This window comes from Homo sapiens, chromosome 8 (assembly GCF_000001405.40).
Source record: "Homo sapiens chromosome 8, GRCh38.p14 Primary Assembly".
NCBI classification, from domain to species: Eukaryota; Metazoa; Chordata; class Mammalia; order Primates; family Hominidae; genus Homo; species Homo sapiens.
In genome coordinates this window covers 127789190-127805424 of record NC_000008.11, presented here as the reverse complement: position 1 = coordinate 127805424, position 16235 = coordinate 127789190, and the positions used below count along the sequence as shown (strand labels likewise).

The following is a 16235-nucleotide window of genomic DNA, read 5'->3' as shown; positions in this document are numbered from 1 at the left end:
CTAAAAAATTCAGACATTATGCACAATAATCCTAGGACTGAGAATTTGTTTTTTTTTTAATTAACTGAAAAATAGAAAACATAATCTATATAAACAGGCTGTTATGAAGCTAAGCATCCAAATCAAAGGAATGATAAAGTAAGCAACGAAACAGTCACTGAACAGAAATATCTACCCAATAAAAATGACATGGACGGCTGGGCACAGTGGCTCACTCCTGTAATCCCAGCACTTTGGGAGGCCAAGGCGGGTGGATCACCTGAGGTCAGGAGTTCGAGACCAGCCTGACCAACGTGGAGAAACCCCGTCTCTACTAAAAACACAAAATTAGCCGGGCGTGGTGGTGAGCGCCTGTAATGCCAGCTACCCAGGAGGCTGAGGCAGGAGAATCACTTGAACCCGGGAGGCAGAGGTTGCAGTGAGCCGAGATCGCGCCATTGCCCTCCAGCCTGGGCAACAAGAGTGAAACTCCGTCTCAAAAAAAAAAAAAAAAAAAAGACATGGACAAAGTGCATATAATATTCAAAAATGCCTGTGTCCTAATAGCAACTAAGAAAAAAATCAGGATGTGTCCAGATGTGGTGGCTCACGCTGTAATCCCAGCACTTTGGGAAGCCGAGGTGGGATCACTTGAGGTCAGGAGTTCAAGACCAGCCTGGCCAACATGGTGAAACCCTGTCTGAACTAAAAATACAAAAAAAAAAAGAAAAAGAAAGAAAGAAAAAAAATTTAGCCGGGCACGGTGGCATCCCAGCTACTCGGAGGCCAAGGCAGAAGAATCGCTTGAACCTGGGAGGTAGAGGTTGCAGTGAGCTGAGATTGTGCCACTGCACTCCAGCCTGGATAACAGAATGAGATGCTGTCTCAAAAAAAAAAAAAAAAAAAATCAGGATGCAACATATACACTATGATTATAATACAAAAAAATAAAAAATTAAAAAATAAAAAACCACAGCCTGGGCACAGTGGCTCACACCTGTAATCTCAACACTTTGGGAGGCCAAAGTGGGAGGGTCACTTGAAGCCGGGAGTTAAAGACCAGCCTAGGAGTGAGGCCCAATGTCTGCAAAAATAAATAAATAAGTAAAAATAAAACAAGGCAAAGAAAAAACAGTGATTGTATTGTTTGTATTCAACTCAAGAAATATTATTTTTTATGAATTTACCAACCCCACCTCCCAGCTTTTAAAAATTTATTTATTTATTTTAGAGACAGGGTCTCATTCTGTCACCCAGACTGGAGTACAGTGGTGTAATCATAACTCACTGCAGCCTCAAACTTCTGGGTTCGAGCAAGCTTCCTGCCTCAGCCTCCCAAGTAGATGGGAATACAGGTGCGTGCCACCAAAGATGGAACTACAGGTACATGCCACCAAGCCCAGTTAATTAAAAATAAGAATTTTTGAGGCCAGGTGCAGTGGCTCATGCCTGTAATCCCAGCACTTTGGGAGGCCGAGGCAGGCAGATCACAAGGTCAGGAGTTCGAGATCAGCCTGACCAACATGGTGAAACCCCGTCTCTGCTAAAAATACAAAAATTAGCCAAGCATGGTGGCACAAGGCTGTAACTCCAGCTACTCGGAAGGCTGAGGCAGGAGAATCGCTTGAACCCAGGAGGCGGAGGTTGCAGTGAGCTGAGATCTCACCACTGCACTCCAGCCTTGATGACAGAGCAAGATTCCGTCTCAAAAAAAAAAAAAAACTGTAGAGACAGGATCTCACTATGTTGCCCAGGCTGGTCTCAGATGGGCTCAACTAATCCTCCCACCTCTATCTCCCAAAGTGATGGGATTACAGGCATAAGCCACAGTGCCTGGCCCATATTTCCTTCTTCCACCAAAATCCTGGAATTCTTAAGTCAAGTACCTTCCTCCTTAAATCCACATTCCACATGAGTTTGTCATCTTTTTAGATGTATATTTGGGAAGTTGCTCCTTGCTGACAATCCTTGAAAAGTGCCCAGTTCTCAGGACCCAGTTGAAATAATTTCCGCCTGGGGCTGGGCGCGGCGGCTCACGCCTGTAATCCCAGCACTTTGGGAGGCCAAGGCGGGCGGATCACGAGGTCAGGAGATCGAAACCATCCTGGCTAACATGGTGAAACCTCGTCTCTACTAAAAATACAAAAACTTAGCCGGGCGTGGTGGGCGGGTGCCTGTAGTCCCAGCTACTCGGGAGGCTGAGGCAGGAGAATGGCGTGAACCCGGGAGGCGGAGCTTGCAGTGAGCCGAGATCTCGCCACTGCACTCCAGCCTGGGCGACAGAAGGAGACTCCGTCTTAAAAAAAAAAAAAAAAAAAAAGAAAGAAAGAAAGAAAAAGAAATCACTTATACCTGGTTATTCAGGCTCTCCAGGATGTCCTGCCCCTCACCCTCGCCCCACCTGCCTTTTCCACCTCCACCCACACCACCAGCCACCTTAGTGGACTTGCAGTCCAAGGCCTTGAACCTCTGCACTGCCAGCCCACTGCTGTCACCAAGACCCAGACTGAGACCCAACACCCCAGTGTCTTCCTTCCCTCCTGGGCGAGTCTCTTCCAGCTTCTGGGCTACAGCAGGCCTGGTTGGCTGTGGTCCCATTTCAACCTGCCTTCTTTCTCTCCTAGCAGTTACATCTGCAGTGTGCCTCCCTCCCACACTGGAAACTTCCCGAAGATGGCAACGGTTTCTCATTCACGGCAGAACACCTGTGCCTCACCCACACATTTGATTCACTAAATGCTGACCTCGTCCAAGGCATTGTTCCATCCAGCGAAAATATGATTCAACCCACATGTAATTTTAGATTTTCTAGTAGCCATAAAGTTAGAAAAAACAGATGAAATTAATTTTAATAATTTAACCCAATATATCCAAAACATTATCAGTTCAATATGTAATTAACATCAAAGAATTGGTTCATGAGATAACTTGGCAGGGTGCAGTGGCTCACGCCTGTAACCCTAGAACTATAGGAGGCTGAGGAAGGCAGATTGCTGGAGCCCAGGAGCTCAAGACCAGCCTGGGCAACACAGGGAGACCCCAGCTTTACCAAAAATACAAAAAAATTAGCTGGGCGTGGTGACACAGACCTGTGGTCCCAGCTGCCCAGGAGGCTGAGGTGGGAGGATCACCTGAGCCTGGGAGGTCGAGGCTATAATGATCTATGAACACATCACTGCATTCCAGCCTGGGTGACAGAGTGAGACCGTGTCTCATATAAATAAACAAATAGGCCTGGTGCAGTGGCTCACACCTGTAATTCCAGCACTTTGGAAAGCTGAGTGGGATGGATCACCTGAGGTCAGAAGTTCAAGACCAGCCTGGCCAACATAGTGAAACCCCATATCTACTAAAAATACAAAATTAGCCAGGTGTGGTGGTGGGCACCTGTAATCCCAGCTACTTGGGAGGCTGAGGCAGGAGAATCGCTTGAACCCGGGAGGCGGAAGTTGCAATGAGCCGAGATCATGCCACTGCACTCCAGGCTGGGCAACAGGTGAGACTCTGTCTCAGTAAATAAATAAATAAATAAATAAATAAATAAATAAATAAATAATGAGATATCTTACTCTTCTCACTAAGTCTCTGAAATCCAATGTGTGTTTAACACACAGTACATATCAATTTCCTTTCAAGTGCTCAATACCCACATAGGGCTCACAGCTACCATATGGAGAGCACAGTTTAAGATGCTGGGGATACAACAGTGAACAGCCTAGAAGTCCATTCCTGTGGCCCCATCCACCACTGCCAGCCTGGACCTGGCACTTAACGCTCTGTGCATGTTTGTCCTGGTGCTCTAGCTCCTGACCCTGATTTAGTTTCTTCTCAACACAGCAGCCAGACTGACCGTTTCAAAAGCCAAGTCAGATCAAATTACTTTCCTTTTTAGAACACTGCAAGGAAGCCAGTCACAGTGGTTCACACCTGTAATCCCAACACTTTGGGAGGCTGAGGTGGGTGGATCACTTGAGTTCAGGAGTTTGAGACCTGCCTGGCCAACATGGTGAAACCCCATCTCTACAAAAATAAAAACATTAGCCAGGCGTGGTGGCACGCACCTGTAATCCCAGCTACTCAGGAGGCTGAGGTGTAAGGATTGCTTAAACCCAGGAGGCAGAGGTTGCAGTGAACCAAGATCTCCCCACTGCACTCCAGCCTGGGCAACAGAGCAAGACTCTGCCTCATAACAAACAAAAAACAAAAACAAAAAACACCGCAAGGGCTCCCCATTTTACAGAGTAAAAGACAGAATCTTTGGAATGCCCTGCAGGCTCTCTGTGAGGCTGCACACTGCATGCTGCTCGGGTTCTCCTACCTCCCTTGCTCACGCCATTCTCATCTCACGCTTCTCCTGGCTGCTCCTCACCCCCACAGGCTCACTTCTGCCTCCACCTCTGTCCTAGCTCTTCCCAGAGCCTGAAACGCCTGTCCTTCCCCTACTTCAGGTGGAGGTTAACGTCAGCTCCTCCATGGAGCCTGCCCTGACTCTGACCGGACAACTTAACCACACAGCACCACGCCCCAGCCCTCCAGACACTGACCCTGCTAGGCCTGTTCCCACAGCACTTCATAATCTTGAATACACAATTCATGTCCTTCTTTATTATGTCTGCTGTTCCTTATCTGTCTAACCCAGCTGTAACCTAAGCTCTAGCATGGAAATCTGTCCTTTTTCTTCCTTTCTGCATCCCCAACATCTACAGCAATGCCAGGCACAGAGTAGACACCCAACAAATATATCCTGGAAAAATGAATGGGTTACAATTTAGTGGGAGAAGAGAGACATATGGTATACTAGGAAGATAAGCCCTATCGAGAAAAAATAACTCAGGAAGGGGAATGGAAGAAAGGGAGGCTGCCATTTTATGAGGGAGGAGAATAATATAATAATAATAAACATAGCAACTACCACTACATAGTAACTACTATGTGTGGGAGCCTCTGCTAAGCACTTTACTGTTAACACAGTGGGGCCGGGGAGACTTTGCACAGGAGTTAGCTTTTGCCTGCACTGCCTCCATCTGTCCCCCAGCTGTCTCTGGGGACCAGCCTGCCCCACTACTGTGTGACATCCACTAGGACAGAAGCTTCAGGAGGGCAGGGATTTTTGTCTCTTCTGCTCCCTGCTGGATCGCCAGCAGCTAAAACGGTGCCAGGCATACAGCAACTGCTCAGGAAATGAATGCATCCATCACTCTTGAACCAAGTAGTCAATGTTAGGGCTAATGCACCAGAAAAAAAAAGAGCCCTGAAGAATAATAAATAATAATTGCTTTACTCAAATGTTTTACTGAAGGGCTTATTCCTCTGTGCTAAGTGCTCTGCTAAGTGCTCTGCACCATCCCAGGGAGGGAGAAGTGATTCTCCTCCCCTGCTCAGCAGCTGAGGAAATGGAGGCACAGTGACCTGAAGTAACTTGCAAAGGCAGTCTGACATCCGAGGGACAGCCCTTTGATTCCTGTCCTTCCTGAGACCCACTTCTGCAGCTTTATTTACTTTCTCATCTGTTTCTAACTTACATAAGCCAGGGCTTGTTTCTGATGCTTGCAGAGAACTACAGTGAAGTCACTGCCATCTTAAGATCTAGGCAACTAGAATGTTGCCTTTCTATTCAGAAACCACTACTTCATGCAGCCACAGGAAGTAATAAAGCTCAATAATTGGAACAGTAATGATATTAGCTACCTTTTACTGTGTGCTCACTTATGAGCCCAGGTCCTCTGCCAGACACATTCTGTTCATCATCTCTTTCGTCATCACAGCAAACCATTTTATAGATGAGGAAACTGAAGCTTAGAGAAGTAACTTGCCCAAAAGTAACCAGATCTACACTCCTCAGCTCCCTGACACATCCCCACTGCCTCCTGCTACTGTCTGTTTTCCTTCTTTTTCATCAGCATACTTTCCCTACAGGCAAGCCCCCCACTTCCACACCATGTCAAGCTGTCTCATATCTAAAAAGATAATGACTGTTGACTGTGTATCTTGTTTCCTTGAAGACAAAGCAGTTCTTTCTTTATTTTTTAATTTTTATTTTATTATTTTTTACAGAGACAGAGTCTCACTCTGCTGCCCAGGCTGGTCTCAAACTTCTCAGCTCAAGCAATCCTCCTGCCTCAGCCTCTCAAAGTGCAAAAATTATAGGCATAAGCCACCATGCCGGGCTGAAGCAGCAGCTCTTGACAGCCACCTGATTCAACAAAGTACCAGGGCTGTGTTGGGCACTTAGACGCCCCTGTTCTCAAGAATTTCACAGTCAGTGATAATAAAGAGGCAGATAAACAAAACAATATGCCATACCTCCCCCCCCACCTAACTCCACACACACACAAAAAGGAAAAGATAAAGGAAAAAAAAAACAGATAGTTCGGAATTTCGCAATTAAAAAATGAATAAGACCATTTCCACATCATGTATATGTCTTGTGTTTTATGACCTGACATTGTTTTTGTTTTTAATTAAATCCTGAAACCTAGTTTTGGTCACAAAATCCAGTGCTATACCTGATTGCAGCCTCTTGCAAATGATTATAGATTTTGCACAAAGACCGAGGCGGTTGTTTGTTTTTTGAGACAAAGTCTTACTCTATCTCCCAGGCAGGAGTGCACTGGCAATCTCAGCTCACTGCAAACTCCGTCTCCCGGGTTCAAGAGATCTTCCTACCTCAGCCTCCCGAGTAGCTAGGACTACAGGCGTGTGCCACCACGCCGGGCTAATTTTTTTTTTTTTTTTTTTTTTGTATTTTTAGTAGAGACAGGGTTTCACCATGCTGGCCAGGCTGGTCTTGAACTCCTGACCTCAGGTAATCTACCGGCCTCAGCCTCCCAAAGTGCTGGGATTACGGGTGTGAGCTACTGCACCCAGCCAAGACTAAGGGTTCTGACCTCTACCCATGACTCCTGCCCACACCCACAGCCCAAACTTTCCAGCATGGCAGCCCTCACCTAAGGCCTCTTGGCCCCTTTGTCTCTGACTGCTCCGTGGCTGCAGAAAAGGTCGGCAGGCAGAGCATGAGGTATCTTCATGCAAGATGTTCAGCTTTCTGTTTGTGCCTAAGGTGCACGGTGAGGGTGGGGGACACACTGTGTTCTCCTGCTCAAGGCCAAGGGGTATACCCTTTTCTTGTTGTTTTTTTTTTGAGACTGAGTTTTGCTCTTGTTGCCCAGGCTGGAATACAATGGTGCGATCTCGGCTCCCGGCAACCTCCGCCTCCCGGGTTCAAGCAATTCTCCTGCCTCAGACTCCCAAGTAGCTGGAATTACAAGTGTGCGCCACCATGCCCGGCTAATTTTTTGTATTTGTAGTAGAGACCGGGTTTCACCATGTTGGCCAGGCTGGTCTCGAACTCCTGACCTCAGGTGATCCACCTGCCTCAGCCTCCCAAAGTGCTGGGATTACAGGTGTGAGCCACCGCGCCCGGCCCTTTGCTTGTTCTTAACCTCATTATCCTCTAACTTCTGAGAGTCACACTAAGAAGTCGAAGACTGTGGTCCAAATCTCTACAGCTCTGCCTCTCCCAAGCTGTGTGACCTGGGAGGATATTTTTAACCTCTCTGGGCTGTGGGTTCCTCATCTGCAAAACCACAACAATAATCATCCTATTTTATAGGAAAGTTAAATGAGATCATATAATTTGAAGTGTTAGAACCAACCCTGCCCCACAACAAGAAGTCTACCATTGCTAGACATTTCATTATAAATGCCTCATGGAGTTGTAGGGAGTAGAAGGTGAAGAACATGCTTTGCGTGATAAACAATGTCCATGTTATACATGCACTATTATTGTTCTTATTATTAATTGTTATTTATTACCGTTATTAGTTCCTTAGATTATTTGAGGTCAGAAAACAGAAGAGACAAAGGGGGCTCCTGCCAAAGGACCCATTTTGGCAGCATTCCAAAAGGCCTTGAATTTCTGAGACTCTCTAGGGATGATATTGAAGTGACTGTCCACAGGACTCAATGGTCCAAATGATTCCAGATTGTTGCTCTGTTCCCATCCTCAGTCAGGGTCCCACCATGGACACTGGGAATATAAATTGGGGTGGGGGGTGTGGTCCTGATCCCTCAAAGAGATCACAAACCTGCATCAGGAAACAATAAAAAGCAAAACAAGGCCGGGTACTGTGGCACCTGTAATCCCAGTACTTTGGGAGGCCGAGGAGGGCAGATCACCTGAGGTCAGATGTTCGAGACCAGCTTGACCAATCTGGAGAAACTCCGTCTCTACTAAAAATACAAAATTAGCCAGGCATGGTGGTCCATGCCTGTAATCCCAGCAACTTGGGAGGCCTCCCAGCATTTTGGGAGGCCAAGGCGGGCGGATCACCTGAGGCTGGGAGTTCAAGACCAGCCTGACCAATCTGGAGAAACTCCGTCTCTACTAAAAATACAAAATTAGCTGGGTGTGGTGATGCATGCCTGTAATCCTAGCTACTTGGGAGGCTGAGGCAGGAGAATCGCTTGAACCTGGGAGGCGGAAGTTGCAGTGAGCTGAAATCCAGCCATTTTACTCCAGCCTGGGCAACAAGAGTGAAACTCTGTCTCAAAAAAAAAAAAAAAAAAGCAAAACAAGAGAAAAAGAAGAATCTTATGTCTGCAGCCAACTATGAAAGGAAATGCAAAATAAAAAGGCCACACATCCAGAAGGGCCACCTGATATAAAACAAATAGCAAAGGGGCAGCCATCAGCAGGCCTGCCACTGCCTCTCCAGACGACCTGGACCGGCAACTATCCAAAGTCTTCCACTTCCCCCAGATATTCTGCCAATACTCTGCCCAAATGCAGGGCCACTCACACAAACAGGAGGAAAGAACAGGGTGTCTTATAGTCCAGGAGATCTCTTGACAAAGCTGCCAGAGAAACGTGTCCATCTTGGGCAGGCAGAAGGCCCAGGCATGGCAAACACAGGCTCCAGAATCCAGCCAGAGTGCCTGCCTACCGCTCAGGAGGCGGAAAAAAAAAACAACTAAAGAACAGGGAATTGATTTGATGTGGGCAGTGAGAATTCACCAGGTTTTCAGACCAGCAATCATATAAACTAGTGGGGATCAGATATGTCAGAACAGAGGGGAGAACTCCTCCTTTCCAGTGCAGAAAAGCTCCAGCCACAGAAACACAGCATGGAGGTGGCGAGGGGCGGGGGAAGGTGTTTAAGACAGAGGAAAAGGAAAGTTAATCAGAAAAAAAACAAAACAAAACAAAAACGGACTTCTATTTTTCAAGAGAAGCCGTTTATGCAAAAATTCTGCACTCAAGATAGATGAGGCAACAAGAATAAGCCACTCTTAACCAGGCAAAACAGCAACACAACCACTTAACAAATCCCTCTGGGAATTCAATGGGTACAGCATATACCCCACAGTCATACCCGTAAGTGGAATTCCAGTTGGGCCCTTGTGCCGAAGCTTTAGACCACGAGGCACGTCCTCACCTCCAAGATGTAACTCATCTCAAATAATGGAGACCAGGCCACGAGGTTTCTCCCAGACACGGATTCTGTATTTGTCCTTCTGCAGCTTCCGGGAAGGTTTTTCTCCTAATAAATCCTGTAGAAAGTTCCACTCAGGGTTCTGAGGATTGATACAACCCCCTTCTTGACTGATCAGAGCTTTAGAAAGATTCGCTATGACCACAGGACTGTGTCAAGTTGAACAAGTCTCAACTTGTCGCTGCCAGTATGCAAAATAGGTCTGAAACATCTTATAACAGACAACACAGCAGACACAGTCCCTGCATCCTCAGGGCCCCCGCCCACCCACCACACACAAACACATTTCTCTAGAGTTTTTTTTTCCTAGCAAGGAACTAGCCCCAGTAGCCAGGATTCACAGTGGTGGAGTGGGCGAGAGACAGGCTAACAGCCTCTCTCTGGAAAACCTAATACCAGAAAGGAAACACCAAAACCTCATCCTCTTGTCCCTAAATCCTTGCACGTGATTTCTTCTCCTCTCTAATGTTCTAGAAGGGCCTAAAGTCAGGAGCTTAGATGAACAGAAGAATCTTCCATGCCTGCAAACCACCAGGAAAAGGCATGAGGCATCCACACACAGACGCATGCAGCTTCATGGCTGTGCTTCCTGAAAGTCTACACCCAGAACCACAAACACTGGCATAAATAAGAGCACGTTAGCAAGAGAAGGCAAACCTAATTAAATCAACAGCCCAGCCAAGAAGAATGACCATGATGAGGGTTTAGGAGCACCCAACAAACCCTCACATGCGATGCAAAAACTGAGAAAGTCTCAAAACACGGAGTTACTGAGTTTTTGGAAATCACCTTCGCCCAGCCCTGAGGGGGTGTGAGAGGAAGCGGGGAGTGATGGTCAAAGGATGGAGGGAGGATCACACATTCACAGACCTCTAGTTTCGCCAGAGGGGCCTCCAAACCACATCATGGCTCCAAATCTGTTCTGACTGCAGAGGGGTCTATTTTTAGAAATTAGTTAATATGCCTTTGATCAAGTTCATAAATCCAGAATTGCCTCTATGCACCGGCCATTCGGTGTCATCCCCCTCCCCTCACCCTCCCCAAACGCCCAAACTCGCCACCAGTCTTGAGGCTGGTGATGAGGACAGTGCACGCCTAGCACACACATATTGGATTCCGAAAGCCCCTTTCCTCCGTCCGACTACTCACAGCGCATCCCTACTCAGGGCCAAGTCTCGAGAGTTTCCAGAAACGCAGGGGACAAAATTGGAACTTACTGGAGGGCAGATCTGGCCGTGTCTCCACAGGTCACAGGGACCGCCAACATCCTTTCCGCAAGGAAATCCACTGGAAGGTGCCGGGGGTCCCGGGGCACATCTTTGCTCGCAGCTCGTCGTCGCCCCTCCTCGTCCCGGCCGCCCCGAGCCCGCCCGGCCCGCGGGCCCATGTGCTCGGCCGCCACACGCGCTCTGCCCGGAGGAGCGCGGGGCTGGCGGGTTGCCCGTGACGTCACGGCGGCTCGCGCTCGGGCCTCGGGGGAGGGGGGAGGCGCGCGCGGCCCGGCCCGCCGCGTGCGTCCTCGGTCCCGGCGCTCCCGGCCTTCCCCAGGTCCCCGCCCGCCGCCCGGTGCGCCCCTCAGCCTGCTTCCCGGCAGCGCAGGGCACTGAGCCGGAGAGGGCCGCGCGCGGAGGCGGGGCGGGCTTGGGCGACTGCGGCCGCCAAGGGCCCAGACTGGGGGAGCGGAGGGTAGGCTCTGCCCTGGGCTGGGGGTCCTCGCTACAAGCGCGCCGGAGTCCCACCGGGCCGGAGGGAATCCCCGGTGATGCCAGCTCGCTTGTGCGCCGAGCTTTCCACGGTCTTTCCCTGAGCCCTCTTACCCTTCCCCACACCGTCCTGGAAGCAAGCGGTCTTCCCACTTTCCTGCTGAGGAAGGCGAGTTCAGTGAAATAGGAGGGCCAGAGATGCTCCGGGATAGGTGCAGTTCCCGCAGAAGACCGCCGACTGAGCTCCAGCTCCAGTGATCTGAGCGCCTCTTTGGGTACCACCCAGCATCCGCCGGCCTGGTGAGAAGGGCGCGCGCACCTTCTCGCCTCCTTCGACGTCTCCCGCTGTTTCCAGAAGCCGAGTTGCAAACCCGTGCAGAGGGCCAGCGGTCTGCGCAGCTCCCTCCACTCCGGGCAGAGTTGACCTACAGAGTGTGTTCAACGAGTCCCTTAAATGCCCAGTAGTTCCTCCAAAGGAGCAAGTGGACACTGGCCTCCCATGTGGGATGTGGTTATCTTGTTCTATCTGCATAAACCCGAGACTGGACAGATGTAAGAGCTGCCCCTGTTCAGTTCAAAGTTTATTTTATTTATTTATTTATTTATTTATTTATTTATTTATTTAGAGATGAAGTTTCACTCTGTCACCCAGGCTGGAGTGCAGTGGCCCGATCATGGCTCACTGCAACCTCCGCCTGCCTGGTTCAAGCGATTCTCCTGCCTCAGCCTCCGGAGTAGCTGGGATCACAGGCGCGCGCCACCACGCCCAGCTAATTTTTGTAATTTTAGCAGAGACAAGGTTTCACCATGTTGGCCAGGCTGGTCTCGAACTCCGAACCTGAGATGATCCACTCGCTTCGGCCTCCCAAATTGCTGGGATTACAGGCGTGAGCCACCACGCCAGCGCCCGTCCAGTTCAACGTCTACTGAGCACTTAAGGGGAGTCAGGCACCCAGCTAGGCAATGGGGTGGGGGTTACTCATGGACCCTAGAAGGACGTCACAAACCAGCAAAAATTGGACACACAAATGGGTGGTATCAATATTACGGAACAGAAGGTTGCCCCTCTTCTCCCCTGCCGGCTACCCTACATCCTACTCACTCCAACCTACCCGGAGGCTCCTCCCTCTTTCTGTGTAGTGTTTCATCACATCTCTTCCCGTGGCGGCTTCTCAACGCAAATGTTCTTATTTGAAAAAGAAAAAACAATTACTCAGTTGATGCTCCTGTTCTGCCTGTTTCACAGATTCATTTACACTCATGGGCATCTCTTTTGTGCCTGGCTCCTTGCCAGGAGCTGGACAAGTCTCCGCTTTGTGCCTGGCTCTCTGTGAGGGGCTGGACAGGTGTCTGTTTTGTGCCTGGCTCTCTGTGAGGGGCTAGACAGGTGTCTGTTTTGTGCCCGGCTCTGAGAGGGACTGGGCAGGTGCCTGAGCTGCAGTTGGCATCTAGTTGTCATCCATCTTTTAAAATATAAAAAGAAGATGATGAGAAACCTCTGCATCTATACATCATGCGATAGGAGCTGTGAGACCTTAATCCTTTCACTGCTTAATCATTTTTTCCAGAAACCAAAGGCTGTGACCTTGAGGAAGCCAGTGTCCTCCTGGGGGATGCTGGTGGGCTATGAGAGGACCAGCTTCTAATGGCAGACGTCTCTGTCCATGTCCTGACAGTTGATGCCCAGTCCCTTCTGCATGGAAAATCTCCCCTGGCTGAAAAGACACTTTCACCCAGGACTCACTCAACTTTGACCTTGATGCTGTTTGCCCTCTCTGGGTCTCCAGCTCTCATGCACTAATCTTAGATTCACATTTTCCTTTTTATTAATTTCTTTTTTAGAATTAAAACATTTTTTCAGTAAAAATACAAAGAAAAAATAATATTTTAATATTCCTACCATCCAAAATAAACATTTTGGTATATCTGCTTTTGTTTTGTTTTGTTTGTTTGTTTGTTTGTTTGTTTGTTTGTTTTTAAATGGAGTCTTGCTGTGTTACCGGGCTTGAATGCAGCAGCTCAATCTCGGCTCACTGCAACCTCCACCTCCTGGGTTTAAGCGATTCCCCTGCCTCAGCCTCCCATGTAGCTGGGACTACAGGCGTGCGCCACCATGCCCTGCTAATTTTTTGTATTTTAATAGAGACGGGGTTTCACCATGTTGGCCAGGATGGTCTCGATCTCCTAACCTCGTGATCCACCCGCTTCAGCTTCCCAAAGTGCTGGGATTACAGGCGTGAGCCACCGTGCCCAGGCCTGCTTTCATTTTTTAAAAGTCACTTTTCTTCTTGCAAAAGTGATATTATATATATATATACACACACACACATACATACACGTTGTAAAACATTAAAACTCTGCAGAAAAAAAAATAGAGAAGAAAAACAAATTTTATCAGCCAGAAATAATTTTTCTGAATATCAGATGAGGCCTTTTTGGGCACAGATGGATACATATAGGCATAGATCTTGATATAGATATATAGATGGATGCAGGATTGACAAATAGATAGGAAAAATATTTTACAATGTTAATGTCTCATAGTTGCAATTTTTAAGAAATCTAATTTTTTTAGTAGAAGAAAAGGAAGCTAACATAAAACTAAAGGAATTGTTGTGTTTTAAATATTTATTTACCACATGAGAAGCATTGCTTTCTAAATAAGGCTACAAAGGTTCAGAAAAGATAATGAAAAGCAAGGAAAGAGTGGCATGATGATGTTTTACTTGTAGGCCTCATCATTGTAAAGTCCAGGCAACTTTTTGCTATTACATTCACACATTTTCTCACATCTCCCTTTACCTCACCTGTATTTGTTCGTTGTTTTCTGTTTTTGTTTTTGTTTTTGTTTTTGTTTTGAGACAGGATCTCACTCTGTCATCCAGACTGAAGAGCAGTGGTGCAAACTCGACTCACTGCAGCCTCCACCTCTCAGGCTCAAGCAGTCCTCCCACCTCAGCCTCCTGAGTAGGTATGTGCCACCATGCCTGGCTTACTCCCGGGCTCAAGTGATTCACCCGCCTCGGCCTCCCAAAGTGTTGAGATTACAGGCATGAGCCACTGCGCTAGCCTAGTTGTGCTATTGTCTTTCGATTACCACTTCCATTCTGTAAATGCAGTTCTCATGGTTGTTTAGTATTGGTTCTATAATTAAATAATTTTAGGCTCAGTACCAGTCTTTACCTTCTCTATATCTGCATCCTCTTTTTTTTTTTTTTTTTTTTGAGATGGAGTCTAGCTCTGTCACCCAGGCACGATCTGGGCTCACTGCAATCTCCGCCTCCTGGCTTCAAGCGATTCTCTTGCCTCAGCCTCCTGAGTGGGGATTACAGGCACCTGCCACCACACCCAGCTACTTTTTGTATTTTCAGTAGACAGGGGTTTCACTATGTTGACCAGGCTGGTCTTGAACTCCTGACCTCAAGTAATCTGCCCATCTCAGCCTCCCAAAGTGCTGGGATTACAGGCATGAACCACCATGCCTGGCCCTATATCTGCATCCTTATCTACAAAACCCATTCATTCCTTTATCAAACATTATCAAATTCCTCTTATGTGCCAGGCACTGTGCTAGTCCTCAGGACTATGAGTGCAATAAGACAGCCCAAGTCCCTGCTTTTGTGAGGTTGACATTCTAGTCAGAAGAAGCAGACAAGCCAATAAGCAAGGTAATTTCAACAATGGTCAATGCTATTGAGACAGTAAATCTCGGCAGAGAGCTAAAGAGAAAATGGGGCAAGAAGATAATTGATACTAGATAATTTGACCAACAAGAAGAAGCCAGCCGTCCAGGTGTGGTGGCTCATGCCTATAATCCCAGCACTTTGGAAGCCCAAGGCAGGCAGATCACTTGAGGCCAGGAGTTCGAGACCAGCCTGGCCAACGTAGCCAAACCCCATCTCTACAAAAAATACAAAAATTAGCCGAGTGTGGTGGCAACGCACCTTGTAGTCCCAGCTACTTGGGAGGCAGAGGTTGGAGAATCACTTGAGCCTGGAAGGTGGAGGTTGCAGTAAGCTGAGATCATACCACTCCACTCCACCGGGTGACAGGTAGAGGCTCGATCTCAAAGGAAAAAAAAAAAAAAAAAAAAAAAAAAAGAAGGAGCCAGCCATAAAAACCAGATAGAGTGTTAGAGTGTTCCAGGCAGAGAGAACAGCAGAAAAAGGCCTAGAGAACCATCAGTCATTTCACAAAGGCTTGAGTCAGACAAACAGCCACCCTCATCATTTTCTATTGGGTCAGGAATCACATATCAGTAGCTCCATATAGAACCAATGAGTGAACGAAGGGATAGACATCCTAGATCTTGTGAGAACAGAATGAGAGGGGGTAACCCCAGGTGTGGTGGAAGCACAGAGAGGTATCTATTTGGCAAAGGCTGAAAAGACTGCCCCAGGGAGGTGGGGCCAGAGCTGAAACTCAAAAAATAGGTTGGAGTTTGCCATTTGTCCAAGAGAATGGGGAGCATTTTAGCAAAGGGAACAGTGTGTATGTGCATAGGTTGATGTACTGCTAGCAATTCAGGATGGCTGGAGTGCATGACGAATGTTCTTTGTAGATGTATGATTTGAAAGTTTGTCCCCTACTTTCTGCCTGACATAACAGGCTTCAAGGCTTCAAGAGTGGTTATGACAGGTACCACCACTTGCTGAGGCCATGAACCTGAGTTCTCCTCTTCCCAATGTCTGTCTACTGATTAGTCCTATAGATTCACCCACCCACCTTTCTTCATGCTCACGGTCATTGCTCTGGAATAAGCTTCCATCTCTTCAATCAATCTCTCTCTCTCTCTCTTCGGGACAGAGTCTCACTCTGTCACCCTAGGCTGGAGTGCAGTGGTGCAACTGTGGCTCACTGCAGCCTCAAACTCCTGGGCTCAAGCAATCCTCCCACCTGGGCCTCCCAAAGTTCTGGTATTACAGGTGTGAGCCACTGTGCCTTGTCGGCTTCTGTCTTTTTTTTTCTGGATTCTGCAGCAGCACAACTGGCCCCTCTGAATTCAATTCTCTGCCACTAATAGACTCTCAATAGTCTCTCCGGATTTATCTTATGAAGA

At 47.8% G+C, this 16235-nt stretch overlaps 1 long non-coding RNA gene and 1 other non-coding gene across 52 annotated transcripts in view, besides 13 other annotated features; both read right to left on the bottom strand.

Moving 5' to 3' along the window:
* The window catches only part of PVT1 (Pvt1 oncogene), a 306733-nt gene extending 295832 nt beyond the window's left edge, over positions 1-10901 (bottom strand). For 43 of the 51 annotated variants that reach the window (NR_186119.1, NR_186137.1, NR_186145.1 and 40 more), the window contains exon 1: positions 10691-10901. This is a non-coding gene — a long non-coding RNA (Pvt1 oncogene). Of the gene's footprint in view, positions 1-9353; positions 9532-10690 lie in introns of all 51 variants that reach the window. The other 8 variants (NR_186146.1, NR_186126.1, NR_186120.1 and 5 more) reach the window with 2 other exon arrangements.
* Positions 967-1606: an enhancer, noted in NCBI's record as "H3K27ac hESC enhancer chr8:128816065-128816704 (GRCh37/hg19 assembly coordinates)". NCBI's record gives its function as "activates a minimal SCP1, AML or CMV promoter by ChIP-STARR-seq in primed H9 embryonic stem cells {active_cell/tissue: H9 hESC(primed)}" and the evidence as "EXISTENCE:reporter gene assay evidence [ECO:0000049][PMID:30033119]".
* Positions 1607-2248: an enhancer, noted in NCBI's record as "H3K27ac-H3K4me1 hESC enhancer chr8:128815423-128816064 (GRCh37/hg19 assembly coordinates)". NCBI's record gives its function as "activates a minimal SCP1, AML or CMV promoter by ChIP-STARR-seq in primed H9 embryonic stem cells {active_cell/tissue: H9 hESC(primed)}" and the evidence as "EXISTENCE:reporter gene assay evidence [ECO:0000049][PMID:30033119]".
* Positions 2249-2890: an enhancer, noted in NCBI's record as "H3K27ac-H3K4me1 hESC enhancer chr8:128814781-128815422 (GRCh37/hg19 assembly coordinates)". NCBI's record gives its function as "activates a minimal SCP1, AML or CMV promoter by ChIP-STARR-seq in naive H9 embryonic stem cells {active_cell/tissue: H9 hESC(naive)}" and the evidence as "EXISTENCE:reporter gene assay evidence [ECO:0000049][PMID:30033119]".
* Positions 4963-5032: a silencer, noted in NCBI's record as "silent region_19534". NCBI's record gives its function as "represses an Ori minimal core promoter by ATAC-STARR-seq in GM12878 lymphoblastoid cells {active_cell/tissue: GM12878}" and the evidence as "EXISTENCE:reporter gene assay evidence [ECO:0000049][PMID:35858748]".
* Positions 9397-9463, bottom strand: MIR1204 (microRNA 1204). Its single transcript, NR_031609.1, has one exon. It is a non-coding gene; the product is annotated as a microRNA 1204 (primary transcript).
* Positions 9426-9765: an enhancer, noted in NCBI's record as "active region_27948". NCBI's record gives its function as "activates an Ori minimal core promoter by ATAC-STARR-seq in GM12878 lymphoblastoid cells {active_cell/tissue: GM12878}" and the evidence as "EXISTENCE:reporter gene assay evidence [ECO:0000049][PMID:35858748]".
* Positions 9426-10208: a biological region, named in NCBI's record as "NANOG-H3K27ac-H3K4me1 hESC enhancer GRCh37_chr8:128807463-128808034".
* Positions 9637-10208: an enhancer, noted in NCBI's record as "NANOG-H3K27ac-H3K4me1 hESC enhancer chr8:128807463-128808034 (GRCh37/hg19 assembly coordinates)". NCBI's record gives its function as "activates a minimal SCP1, AML or CMV promoter by ChIP-STARR-seq in primed H9 embryonic stem cells {active_cell/tissue: H9 hESC(primed)}" and the evidence as "EXISTENCE:reporter gene assay evidence [ECO:0000049][PMID:30033119]".
* Positions 9866-9915: an enhancer, noted in NCBI's record as "active region_27947". NCBI's record gives its function as "activates an Ori minimal core promoter by ATAC-STARR-seq in GM12878 lymphoblastoid cells {active_cell/tissue: GM12878}" and the evidence as "EXISTENCE:reporter gene assay evidence [ECO:0000049][PMID:35858748]".
* Positions 10209-10778: an enhancer, noted in NCBI's record as "NANOG-H3K27ac-H3K4me1 hESC enhancer chr8:128806893-128807462 (GRCh37/hg19 assembly coordinates)". NCBI's record gives its function as "activates a minimal SCP1, AML or CMV promoter by ChIP-STARR-seq in primed H9 embryonic stem cells {active_cell/tissue: H9 hESC(primed)}" and the evidence as "EXISTENCE:reporter gene assay evidence [ECO:0000049][PMID:30033119]".
* Positions 10896-11055: a silencer, noted in NCBI's record as "silent region_19533". NCBI's record gives its function as "represses an Ori minimal core promoter by ATAC-STARR-seq in GM12878 lymphoblastoid cells {active_cell/tissue: GM12878}" and the evidence as "EXISTENCE:reporter gene assay evidence [ECO:0000049][PMID:35858748]".
* Positions 11066-11125: a silencer, noted in NCBI's record as "silent region_19532". NCBI's record gives its function as "represses an Ori minimal core promoter by ATAC-STARR-seq in GM12878 lymphoblastoid cells {active_cell/tissue: GM12878}" and the evidence as "EXISTENCE:reporter gene assay evidence [ECO:0000049][PMID:35858748]".
* Positions 11146-11195: a silencer, noted in NCBI's record as "silent region_19531". NCBI's record gives its function as "represses an Ori minimal core promoter by ATAC-STARR-seq in GM12878 lymphoblastoid cells {active_cell/tissue: GM12878}" and the evidence as "EXISTENCE:reporter gene assay evidence [ECO:0000049][PMID:35858748]".
* Positions 11921-12491: an enhancer, noted in NCBI's record as "H3K4me1 hESC enhancer chr8:128805180-128805750 (GRCh37/hg19 assembly coordinates)". NCBI's record gives its function as "activates a minimal SCP1, AML or CMV promoter by ChIP-STARR-seq in naive H9 embryonic stem cells {active_cell/tissue: H9 hESC(naive)}" and the evidence as "EXISTENCE:reporter gene assay evidence [ECO:0000049][PMID:30033119]".